This window comes from Homo sapiens, chromosome 2, assembly GCF_000001405.40.
Source record: "Homo sapiens chromosome 2, GRCh38.p14 Primary Assembly".
NCBI classification, from domain to species: Eukaryota; Metazoa; Chordata; class Mammalia; order Primates; family Hominidae; genus Homo; species Homo sapiens.
The window spans coordinates 166128238-166141693 of NC_000002.12; the positions used below are offsets into that span (position 1 = coordinate 166128238).

Below are 13456 nucleotides of genomic sequence, written 5' to 3' on the forward strand. Positions count from 1 at the left end.
TGCTATATAATATCATGAACCTAATGACTCAAAGAGGAAAAGGTTTGAAAGTAAATATAGCTATTTTCAAGTAGTACTTGAAAAACTTTAGCATTATTTTAGTTTGAAACTGTTACTTTATTCCTAATATGAATCATTGTTATCTATAAAAATGATATATCTTATAAATAAAACTGTCTTTTTATTCCACCAGGAAACAATCAGGTGGCCCTTTATTACAGATCTATGGCTTCACATTTTTCTGTTTTAATATTGTGTTTTAGGATTAGGTTTCATATTATAGTGAACAGCTCAGAGTCACAAAATGTGAGTTTTACTTCAACACTGATGAACACATGCCTTTAACAAAGCCACTGAAGTCTTCTATGGACATTTACATTCTTACTATCTTCATCTGTAATTACAGATTAAACAAGACTTTCAACCCACTCTCAATTTCTATGGTTTTACTATATTTTACTCCAATGTTTTCCCATCTTGTGGACACAGCCTAAAGCTTAATTATAATAACACATTTTAATAAGCAAATATATATAGAAAGAGAGTCCAATTGCCTATTACCCAAAGATAGAATTATAAAAACCATGAATATCAGTTTTTTCTAAGACAATAAAAATCCATGCCAAACTAATTATAACTCTTGGAACTGAGAGTAGAGCTTTTTATGTTATATATTGTATTCTAAAATGGAATCAGCCTTAAACATTCAGTCATACATAAAATCACGATTATGTGTAGATTAGTCATTGGAAGTAAATATTTCATCCTCATTATTTTTCTTTTGCCATCTAACACACTTATTACAATCATTGCATGTGTTTTATCATTTATCAATATAACCTTCAATATTTAATCCTTCTCTTCCTTATTACAGGATGGTGAGATAAATACTATTAATGTTATTATATTATAATTATTCCTATTTATACTTGAGAACACTGAAGCTTTCTGAGCCTTACTGAGGTTTATTCAAGACCACATAGCTTGCAAAGCAATAAAACTAAGGCTGTTGGTCCCAAGAGCCCAAAGAATAATCCACTGTTCTTTGCAACATACCTAAAAGTTCACCATTTTTTCCTGTTCTAGAATCACAGAAAAGTAATTTTGATTTCTATGTTTACAAAACATTTACTAGCCCTTAATTATGGACCAATGGGTCCATCTTGTGGATCCATCTTTTTATCTATAAAAGAAAGAAATTAAGTAAGATAATTTCCTGTTCCAGCTCAAAAACTCTATCCAGTGCTTTCCCAAAAGCCAGTTGGAGTAGCATGAACACATTCATTTGAAGTTACTCAATGTCTGGGAAATGATGTTGCCCAGTATCTGGTAGAGTCAGGGCAAAGTTGAAAGAAGATGAGGAGACAGGTGATCAACAACTGGTAAACGATTGCCAAGATGTTAGAGATGAAAAGAGAGTGGGAACTGCATGAACTAACAGGCAATTTTTTTAGAATAATACATTCCATATGAATAGTACTTAGAGATTAGATATGTAAAAACACAAAATAAGAACATACCTGGCCACATGTTTTAATGAATTCTAATTGCATATTATAGGTGCCAATTTTTCTGAGTGTCTGCTCTTAACAATTCCCCCAATAGTTCTTCTCCCCTGATCCTTAGTGGTAAACCTACCCTCTTGCTACAGAGGACTGGAGCAAGAGAGGGTATCTACGCAGCTGACCTGGTCAAAGAGAGCCACTACATGTGATTCTGGCAGCTATGGAGTCAGCTTTCCCTCACCATGGGGACTCAGGACCAGGTGGACCAGGATACTGAAATAGCAGCCAGCCACACAGATGTGGAGGAAGAAGTGACAAAAGACAGAGACAGACTGTTTCCATCTCCAGTCTACTCAAGATCCAAACACTTTCTTGATGTTGAGTCCCATGATAAACTCAAACTCCATGTTTGCTTAAGTGAACTTGGTTTCTGTTGAACTATGGAGTCCTAACCACTTCATTAGCTTCAAGAAAGTTGCCAGTACTGCATCTATCAAGTATTATTCATATTCTGGGCATCTGACACTTCATTTATTCACTTCTTCATGCACCTGATATATGCCAGGCACTTTTCCAGATACTTAAGTAACATCGGCAAACAAACCAGATCAAAACCCTCCCTTTGTGGAGTTTACATTGACATGTCAGTCATATGGAAAGGCACAACGCATTCAGTGTGCACACTACCTTTCTTCCGCCTCCATGTCTTTGTTCACAACCTTCACTTCTCTTGGCAGACCTTTCATCCATCTACACATAGCAAATTCGGCGGATATTTTAAATGTCTGGGTCAAATATTCTCTCTTCTCCAACGTCTTTTCTATTTTCTCAGCAGATAGAATTCTTTTTTCTTTTGTTAATTATAGAACAATTTTATGTTGTATCTTATGAAACATGGTCATTTGACAAGTTGAAAGCATTGAGCATAAGGAGATAAATGACTATTCTCATACAGACTCCTAGAAAAGGCCAATATCCCAAGCATGGCCCAAAGAGTACTATTAACTAACAACTCATCATTCTGTACACAGATACTTCATTCGTCAGAGCTGAAGCAGTTTTACAGTATTAGTAACTTTAAATCTTCCATGTTTCAGACTGAGCATAAAGGCAAAATATGAGATTTTTATTAAATTAGTGTAATATGCACTTAAAATCACATATTTATTTTTTAAAGTTAGCAGAAGATATTAAAACAAAACTCTGTGCTACCCTATGTCACTACTACACTTATCCCATTTGACCTTGTTCTAAGAGTTTTATATATGTATCTTATTTGGCTCCCAGAATGTAAACTCCCTGTGGAACCAGCTTTGCATTTTATTTATTTTTTTGTAGATTAATTTATTGAGAGATAATTTTGTCTCTTTCTCACTGTTACGTTTCCAACTTCAAAAAATGAAAAACTAATCTTCCTCTGCCCCCGTTGGTAAAGTTAGCCATTCCAGGAACCCCTTTGTAATCTTGTTTCAGAAGCTGGAAAAAATTAGCTGCCTACTTCCTAGGTGACAATACTTCAATCTGTAATGCATGAACCTGCTAAACAGGCTGAGGGGGCATGGCTGTGGCTTTTTTATGAGAGTTCCTAACAAGGAAAAGAGAATGAAGGCGTAAGATGTCATTTAGTCTTTGTAAGACTCCGTCTCTGTAAGACTCCGTCTCTGTCCTGTGAATGTGGTTGTTACTTTGTTATAGCTCTGTCAGTTGCACTGCTCAGTGCCAAAACATAAAAGGGAATATTATAATGGGACATAATCTCTGTCAATAGATTTTGGGTATTAAAGAGAGCGTGAGGTCACTCAGGTGGAAAAAGCTGGGCCAGGTAATTTTGTCTGTTAGTTTTACGACATAAAGGAGAGTCTCTCGATGCCATTAGATCTTGAAAGAGTTCAAAGAGAGAACTATCTCATTATCAGAAGGCTGAGGAATTAGTGTAATTAGTATCTGAATATTCTTTAATATTTTCTTGCATAGAAAATAAAGGTAATTGGTTATCAAAAATATTCTTTCAAATGTGTATCTCCTGGAGTTGTGGAGTTCTGAAACTTTAACCAGCTGCCTTATGAAGAGAATTTATTAATTAACTTTATGCCTGCCAAGGAGAAGGAAACCATTCTTAATTTTTAGCCAAAAATTTCCCAAAGTGATGACCAAATCATTATGTTTTGAGTTCCAGATTCCCTTGTTTAGAGTTATAAATGACATTTGAGTTTTAAGGCAGAAATGTTTCTAAATTCCCCTGTCATTTGTTTGGGAATCTATAGTCACTGAGCAACATGAAGCTGGGTCTCCCCTCTCTTCCCACCGCAGGAAAGGAATTGGAGGCTGGAGGCGAACTTGAGTACCTTGAGGTGGTATCCCAAAGGAGATGGTGGTGACAACAGACAAGTCTAGATGTTAGCAGGTCTTCTGATGAAGTCGGGGAGTGATCCCAACACAGATAGCAAATGCTAGAGTTTGGATTTAAACTCAGACCTTAAGATTTTAGATCTACAGGACCACTGTATCACTACAAATCCTGACTTTGCCCCCTTTTGATTGGAATAATCAGATAAAGCACACTACTGATGTGATCCTTGGTAAATGTAATTTACTACTTAAGTACTTTGCTTTTGTAGATGTCAATTTCCTAGTGGTTTTTTTTTTTCTTTTGGTAAATGCAGCATTCTGCAAAAATCTACTACCAATTCCTTGCTCTCACAAAGCATTCACCAACACTGTGCCACTATTTTAGAAATAGAAACCATATCCTAGCCGAAAATGATAAACTCATATATTTCCTTTTGAGATTAACCTGCCCTTTTGAAAGGGAGTCAGAAATGAATGTGAAATTTATTTGCTATTAGACAAATAAATGCAGAAACTGCAATTAAGAACTCTCTTTTAGGACTAGAGCCAACTAGTTTTTCTGCAAGTTTAAAGTTACAATTTTTTGATGGCAAGAATTGGCCAACTGATTTCAAAATATCTTATAGGTACTAAAGTGGACTTTTGAAACTCTGGTAAAGTCCATACATTCCATAAATTAAAAAAATAATAATCAGCCATTTTTTTCAAATATGATATAAAAATATCTGAGGGCTCCTCCCCTCCCCGCAACTGGAATTCACTGAATCAGAGCTGCTATAGGCTTGCATTTTTTGATGCACAGATAACCAGTTTTTAAATCACTTGTAATATAATGAACATAAATAATTGAATTTTTTTTTCTTACAGATTTGATTCTGAAGTATTTTTGAAGTATCTTTAGAACCAATGTGCTTGTGGGCACACATTACACTATTTAAAATTTTATTAAAAGTATTTTAAAAATCCTTAGAGAGAGAATGCCAGTTATCTCTCTCTCTTTCTGGTAGTGGAGAAGAAAAAATAGTATAGGCTTTTCTTAACTCACCACAATGCAGTAATTAAAAGCAAAAGAGAAAGGAGGGAAGTTGTGGGATTATGATGGAGATAATCAGATTCCCCAGTTGCCCTCTGCCTTCCCTGCTATCGAGACAACGCACAGAAGCCAGAATTATGTCTGCAGGTGATTATTTCAGGGAAGCAGTTACTCCTTGTTGGAAGATTCACTGCAATTTCCTTTCAATTACATAGGCAGACATTGGTGTTGGAGAGGGAAATAACAATATTCCTAAACCAAATAAGTAGCTTTTATAAACAAGACAGAATAATACATGAACCTGATTTCTCAAAGGGAAATTAAGTATATGAATGTCAATCATCTGATGAGATTAGCATTACAATATAGGTTCAGAATGAGTATTAAATCACAAAATTACTTTTTATCACTTGATGTAATAGCATTATTCCTCTGATTATATCACCAACTGAACAGCACTTCAAAAATTACTATAGTGCTCTGTATATATCTTTAATTTTAAATCCTTTATTATTTGGGGGCCTGGTTTATTTTTGATCTTTTCTTCTTTAGCTAACGTGTAAGAAGACATTATTAATATTTAGTGAAGATGACACTAAATGTCGTTTTTCAAAACAACAAACTCTGCCTTTTCCTAAACAAGCAGGGAGCCATTATGCCTTCACTGTTCCGCTTCCTTTGTTTCCTCTGTTTTCAGGACCTTCTCTTCTTTGACCGCATCTTCCTCCACCCTCTATCGGTGCACCTCTCCACGGTCTGACCCCACTCAATAATCTCTTTGAAAGTAAGAACTATGACTTATTTTTTTTGTCATTGTTCCCCAAACATATCCCAAGTCTGTGGTAGAATTAAGGTAGTTTCTGGAGAGAACCTGATAACATCTGCTGAGTATTGATGAATAAAAATTCCGTAATAGACTTCCAACAAAACCCTGGAGTAGAATAAAATAACTTTGTAAACCTCATAAAAAAGAATGTCAATTTACATAAATCATTACCATTGCTTTATCGATAGGGTTTTGCTAATCATTGAGAAATTGTGGAGCTGGAAAAGTCTCAGAGATAAACCAGGCAAGTGTTCTTATTTTGGATATGAGGAAACTGATGCCAAGAGAGGTGCAGTGACTTGTCCAAGGTCACATAGATAGTTTTATACCACAAAGGTCCATTCAAGTTTTCCCACAGTTTAACTCTAAAGGAAATTAATATTGAGTAAGGTACATCAGCACATAAGAAGCAAAATGGAAGTGAGTGAAGTATTTCTAGATATGCCACAATTGATTTTCACTCATGTTTTGACAGAGAGATGGATGTGATGAAGGGTATGAATGCAGTTACTGTTTAAGAAGGTGATGGACTAACCAACATTGGTTTTAGCAAAGAATAAAGAAAGTGACTGTCCTTCAATCTAGCTCCACATGCGGTTCTTAAATATTAACCACAAAGTACTCAAGCCCAAGGGCACGAGCTCTGGGTATGCAGAGTGTAGCATTGACAGCTTTCAGGAATGCAGGCCCAAAGACAGCTCCAGAAAATATCCAGGAAGCAAACTATCTTGAAGTTCTATACTTTCTTTGAAATGCCAAGATGTAATCTAAAAATATGTGTTCTACTTTTTTAGTCTAATAAACCACATTTATATGATGGTTATCTGTCATATGGGGAGACAAAATTCAACATTTCACATGCCTGAGCTTTATACCCCTCCTTTAAATGTATCAAGATTTCATAAAGCTTTGGTTCTTCAGAAAAGATCAAGGTACATCACAATATTTAAAGCATTATCTCCATATCTATTGCCACAGGAGGATAAAGAGAAAATAAACATAAATGCAAATAATGAAAATGCCTGAGCAATCATAAAGAATGAAGTTACTGTGTGGATTCTATTCTGTGTTTATGTGTTCTTTCCTTTGCTCTTAAGTCAGTTAAACATAATGCTTGGGTTCTTTCCTGATTTATTTCATTCAGCAATCCCCCCTACCCCCCGACATCCCTTGCAAAGATGAATCAACAAAAGCTATTACCAAGAACAATATGATTGATTACTTATTGGAACTCGAATACCAATTTTCCACTTAAGTATATCTTTATATCAATCACCTCACTTGCCTACCTATTGAAGAGTTTCAATTAGATTTTTTTAATAAAGAGGACTTTCTTTACTCTAAAGGATATAGCTGATATTTATGAAGACAACGCTTTATTTACAGAATAAAACTGAACTTTGCCATAACTTAGCATAAGCAAATATGTAGTTTCTGTTTCCCTAAAGAATTCCTGTCAACATCTTTTTCCTTTCATGTTCAAAGGCAGAAAGTCATTGACTTTACCAGGAGCACAGCAAAGCCATCTGTAAAGTATACAAGTGTCGCTAGAATTAGGTGCTACCATATTTCTTGGGGAAATTAACATTTTTGACACATCTGTATGCAGTTCCAATCTTCGGATATCAATTTACAAACTCACATAAATTACATTTGGTTACATCTTTTCTTTTTGTTTCTTTCCTTGAGAAAAGCAAGAATTCTACTCTAGGCCAAATAATGGACAGAAATCATTAGGGTCCACTCCAGGGACTGAGGCCCTTTAGAAGAGATTGGCAAGTGACTAGGGAAAAGGTACATCGAAGGTCAGAAAATAATGACATTTAGCCTAGTTCTCCTCGTGATTCCTTGGAAATTTTGGGGCCCATGAGCTCAGTTGCTGCTTCTGGGATTGCCCCTATTCATATCAAATAGCAGAGAACTGAGATGTCTTACCCACACCTGAGAAGATTCGGATGTGAGCATGGGATAGAGGTGCTAGGCAGCGGCACTTTCATGCCTAAGTGCAGTCTCTCATACCTGTTCATCTGCAGTGGCATGAAAGGCAAACAGATTCTTCTGCTCATTATGGGTTGTTGAAATGACAGAACCACTTTGTCTCAACATTTTCTATGACACTTGATACATAAGGAAGCTCAGAGACTAAAGTCCTTGTTTCCATGTTGCACTAGGTCTTTTTGAAAGTCTCTTTTACATTCTGATTGCTATCATGACATCAAAGTCACCTGTATTCCTCATCTTTGTGGGGAAGAGCAGGCTAAATAAAGTAGGTAAGGACACCTTCTGAGTCTGCACCCCTTTAATTGACACATAGGGGATGTGACCCCTGACGTTTCTGCTTCCCTTATTCTTTCTGCAACTAAGCAAACATAGAATGTGGATTTTCCCATGCTCTTAGCAAGGATGAAACTCAGCGATCATTTGCTCTACTTCACATGGTAGTTGTTTCTAAGATTACATATCATATATATGCATATATATATATGTTATGTTATGCTACACACACACAACTGCTAATGAGTGTTCTCTCTCCCCTTTTCTTGTCCCTCTGCTCTCTAGGACAGCAGTAGCTTTATATGTATCTCTATCTGCCCTAAGTCTCCTCTCTTGGGCATCACAAACAGAGTTACCCTTCCATGAACCATTTGTTGCTTTAAAATTATACCTCAGATGCAGTCATGGTCCTAGCAGAAAGTAGATGGTACATTCAAAATGGTTAAAATAAAAATAATTATGGAGAAACTATTGACCAAGTGGGTTAAGATGGTTGATGAGTGCCCAGGAACTAGCAATAGAGAGAGCCAATGCCATTCCAGGCAAGAGTGAAAGTGGCACCAGATTCCGGTGAGAGCTAGAGCTTTAGAAGACCCAACTGAGAGGTTTAACTAAAGAGGAATGCAGCTGCTTTTTTAAGCTAGGAAGTGAGGTGTGGTCGGGGAGACTCTCCAATTTTCTGCTAATGCCTGTCTTGGGCTGCATTCAAAGCCAACGGATGAAGGACCCCAAGTTTCTCAATCCCTGGAAAGTGGACTTGAAAGTCTTTCCCTCTACTTGTCCATTATTCCACTTCTAACCTACATTTTAATACTCCCAACACTCTCTTCCCTGGTCTGCATTCCTTGGAGTCCAGTGCTCCTGCTAGTAGCCCTTCTTCCAGGGCTCCAGCATTTGTTGGGCTCTGGGAATGTTTTTTCCAGGTTGGCAGTTGTGAAGGGCTGGTGGGAACTGGGGAAAATAACAATGTGTCTCATCTTATCTCTAAAAACATCTCTTTTTCTTTGTTTAAAAAGCAAAACACATGTGTCTAAAATATTTTACAGAGATGAACAAAAATCTTTATGATAAAAGATTCTATTTAATACCCTAACCCTTAATACAGTGCCTAGTATATGGTAGTGTATGATATGGTTTGGCTGTGTCCCCACTCAAATCTCATCTTGAATTGTAACTCCCACAATTCCCATATGTAGTAGGAGGAACCTGGTGGGAGGTAATTGAATCATGGTGGCGAGTCTTTCCTGTGTTGTTCTCATGATAGTGCATAAGTCTCATCAGATATGATGGCTTTAAAAATGGGATTTTGCTGACACAGCTCTCTTTTTGCCTGCTGCCATCCATGTGAGATGTGACTTGCTCCTCGTTGCCTTCTGCCATGATTGTGAAGCCTCCCCAGCCATTTGGAACTGTAAGTTCAATAAACCTCTTTCTTTTGTAAATTGTCATGTCTCAGGTATGTCATTATCAGCAGCTTGAAAATGGACTACTCAGTAAATTGGTACTGGGAGTGGGGCACTGCTAAAAAGATTCCCAAAAATGTGGAAGCCACTTTGGAACTGGGTAACAGGCAGAGGTTGGAACAATTTGGAGGGCTCAGAAGAAGAAAGGAAAATGTGGGAAAGTTTGGAACTCCCTAGAGACTTGTTGAATGGCTTTGACCAAAATGCTGATAATGATATGAACAACGAAATCCAGGCTGAGGTGATCTCAGATGGAGATGAATAACTTGTTGGGAACTGGAGCAAAGGTGACTCTTGTTATATTTTAGCAAAGAGACTGGTGGCATTTTGTCCCTGCCCTAGACATTTGTGGAACTTTGAACTTGGGAGAGATGATTTAGGGTATGTGGTGGAAGAAATTTCTAAGTGGCAAAGCATTCAAGGGGTGACTTGGGTGCTATTAAAGGCATTCAATTTTAAAAGGGAAACAGAGCATAAAAGTTTGGAAAATTTGCAGCCTGACAATGCAATAGAAAAGAAAATCCCATTTTCTGAGGAGAAAGTCAAGCTAGCTGCAGAAATTTGCATAAGCAATGAGGATCTGAATGTTAATCCCCAAGACAATGAAGAAAATGTCTCCAGGGCATTCAGAGGCCTTCATAGCAGCTCCTCCCATCACAAGCCTGGAGGCCTAGGATGAAAATGTGGTTTCATGGGCCAGGCCCAGAGTTCCCATGCTGTATGCAGCCTAGGGACTTTGTGCCCTTTGCCTCAGCCATTCCAGCTATGGCTGAAAGGGGCCAACATAGTGCATGGGTCATAGCTTCAGAGGGTGCAAGCCTCAAGCCTTGGCAGCTCCCACGTGGTGTTGAGCCGGCAAGTGCACAGAAGTCAAAAACTGGGGTTTGAGAACCTCTGCCTAGATTTCAGAAGATGTATGGAAACGCCTGGATGCCCAGCAAAAGTTTGCTGCAGGGGTGGGGCCCTCATGGAGAACCTCTGTTAAGGCAGTATGGAAGGGAAATGTGGGGTCAGAGCCCCCACACAGATTCCCTACTAGTGTACCACTTGGTGGAGCTATGAGAAGAGGGTCACCATCCTCCAGACCCCAGAATGGTAGATCCACTGACAGCTTGCACTGTGTTCCTGGAAAAGCCACACTTAATGCCAGCCTGTGAAAGCAACTAGGAGGGAGTCTGTACCCTGCAAAGCAACAGGTGTGGAGCTTCCCAAGACCATGGGAACCCACCTCTTGCATCAACGTGACTTGGATGTGAGACATGGAATCAAAGATCATTTTGGAGCTTAAAGATTTGACTGCCCTGCTGGATTTCAGACTTGCACAGGGTCTGTAGTTCCTCTGTTTTGGCCAATTTCTCCCATTTTGAATGGCTGTATTTGCCCAATGCCTGTACTCCCATTGTATCTAGGAGGTAACTAACTTGCTATTGATTTTATAGCCTCATAGGCAGAAGGGACTTGCCTTGAGACTTTGGATTGTGGACTTTTCAGTTAATGCTGAAATGAGTTAAGACTTTGGAGGACTGTTGGGAAGGCAAGATTGGTTTTGAAATGTGAGGACATGAGATTTGGGAGGGGCCAGGAGTGGAATGATATGGTTTGGCTGTGTCCCCACTGAAATCTCATCTTGAATTGTAACTCCCACCATTCCCATGTGTCATGGGAGGAACCCAGTGGGAGGTAATTGAATCATGTGGGTGGGTTTTTCCTGTGCTGTTCTCATGATAGTGAATAAGTCTCACAAGATCTGATGGCTTTAAAAATGGGAGTTTGCCTGCAAAAACTCTCTTTTTGCCTGCTGCCATCCATGTGAGATGTGACTTGCTACTCCTTGCCTCCAGCATGATTGTGAGGCCTCCCCAGCCACGTGGAACTATGAGTTCAAGAAACTTGTTTTTCTTTTGTAAATTGCCCAGTGTATTAGTTCATTTTCATGCTGCTGATAAAGACATACCTGAGACTGGGTAATCATGGCAGAAGATGAAAGGCACATCTTACATGGCAGCAGGCAAGAGAGAATGAGAGCCAAGTGAAAGGGGAAACCCCTTATAAAACCATCTCGTGAGACTTATACACCACCACAAGAACAGTATGGGGAAAACTGCTCCCACGATTCAGTTATCTCTCACCAGGTCCCTCCCACAACACATGGGAATTATGGGAGCTACAATTCAAGATGAGATTTGAGTGGGGCACAGCCAAATCATAGCAGGTAGAGACTCAGGAATAAACATATGGATATTCAAGCAGTACTATTTTTAGATAAATTCTAAGAATAATTTTAGAATAATAATAATTGTTGTTAATTTTATTGAGGACTTAATATATTTTGGGACCTTCAAACCTCACAACAGTCTCATAAAATAGTTGCTATTACCATGTTATCTTCATGAATTTATAAATGAGGCAACTGAGGCTCAGAGTAGTTGAGCATCTTGGCCAAGATCACACAGTAACGAGGTGACTAAGTGTGATTCTGAAACCAGCAGTGTATCTCCAAAGTACCTAATCTTACCATAAGGCCATACTAAAACTCTCCACAATATCACATTATTAAAATTATGGTGGAAAGTCTCTGCAATTCGAGTTCACAGGCAAACAAACAGAAGACAATAGTCTTTCTTTACTGCTAAGGATTACATCACATTAAGCTCATATAAGGACATAATGGGGGAGAGACATTTCTACAAGTAGCTGACCGAAGATAGTTTTTAGGTGTATGATCAGTCTGTAGCCTGGATTCTTGTCAAACATGTTAGGGGGCAGCATGTGGCAGGGTGGGAGGGAGGCAAATGGAGATCTTCCTTCTTACTTGTCTCAGATTCTTCAATCTTCCATAGCAAGTGAAAGAATATAACTATGTTTGGACGTACTCTCACCAAGTTAACAAATACACTAAACACATGAGTAGTGAGGGGAGAAGCATGCCTCAATCTGGCAAAGCTTCAATCTCCAGAAGTCTAAATTTGTTAGAAATGAAAAAGCTAGCAAAGCAGAACTGCTGATCGTGAACACTTAACAGTAAGCTTCCTTTGGTGGAAGCTTCATGTTGCAAACATCGTATTTAATTAGGTGTTTTTTTCTCAGCTCATTTTCTAAAAACAAGTGCTTTTCGGCTCTGCTTGATGTTTGTGAAGACACGGACCGCGCAAAACCAGGATACTTTCAGAATTTTAAAACCTTGCTTCTGAAAGTGTGGCCACATACTGGCAGCATCCCCACTTCTTGGGAGCTTGTTGAAAATGTGGACTCTTTGGCTCCACCCAGACCTTCTAAATAAGAAAGTGCATTTTAACAAGATTTCCCCAGGTGATTCTGTGCACATTGGTGTTTGAGAAGCCCTGGCTGTCACATCTGGCCTCAGCTCTTAAAGCCTACTCACTTCCTTCTGCACCTTGAACATGTAAATCAGCCATTCTGCCCTGCTCACCACTCCCCGGGTGTTCCCATTCCCCTTTGCAGCCCTGCTTGTACATACTATTTAGATACACCAAGCAAACCCAATCTACTCTTCTAAGTCACATTTCTAATGTCAATTGACTTGAGTGGCTCTTGAAGTAAAAATTAACTTTCCAGTTTCTCTTCCCTCAGGCCCAGTCTGCAGTGGCAATCGCTGTTAATTTTTTTTTTTTTATCTTCTTTAGAATTCTTGTGTATATCCAAGCATCTGAAATATACGTGTTTTATATTTTTCTTTTTTTTATAAATAACATTGTACCAGACACCAGGCATGGTGTTTCACACTTGTAATCCCAACAATTTGGGAGGCTGAGGTGGGAGGATTGCTTGGGGCCAGGAGTTCAAGACCAGCCTGGGCAACATACTGAGAACCCATCTCCACAAATATTTTTTTAAAAAGAAAGAAAAACATCACACAATATATATGGCTGTAAACCTAGTTTAAGTTACATAATTTATCTCTAATTAGTTCACTTATTATTGCTTAAAATATTTTGTTCTGTATATAGATGGATATACCAAAGTTTATTTAATCAGTTCTCAGATG

General features: G+C 38.4%; 1 protein-coding gene and 1 long non-coding RNA gene across 5 annotated transcripts in view; one reads left to right on the forward strand and one right to left on the reverse strand.

Annotated features, from left to right (window-relative positions):
- Positions 1–13456, reverse strand: part of SCN1A (sodium voltage-gated channel alpha subunit 1) — a 164521-nt gene that overhangs the window by 143597 nt on the left and 7468 nt on the right. The gene's annotated exons all lie outside the window — the stretch shown is intronic.
- The window catches only part of SCN1A-AS1 (SCN1A and SCN9A antisense RNA 1), a 220254-nt gene that overhangs the window by 46707 nt on the left and 160091 nt on the right, over positions 1–13456 (forward strand). The gene's annotated exons all lie outside the window — the stretch shown is intronic.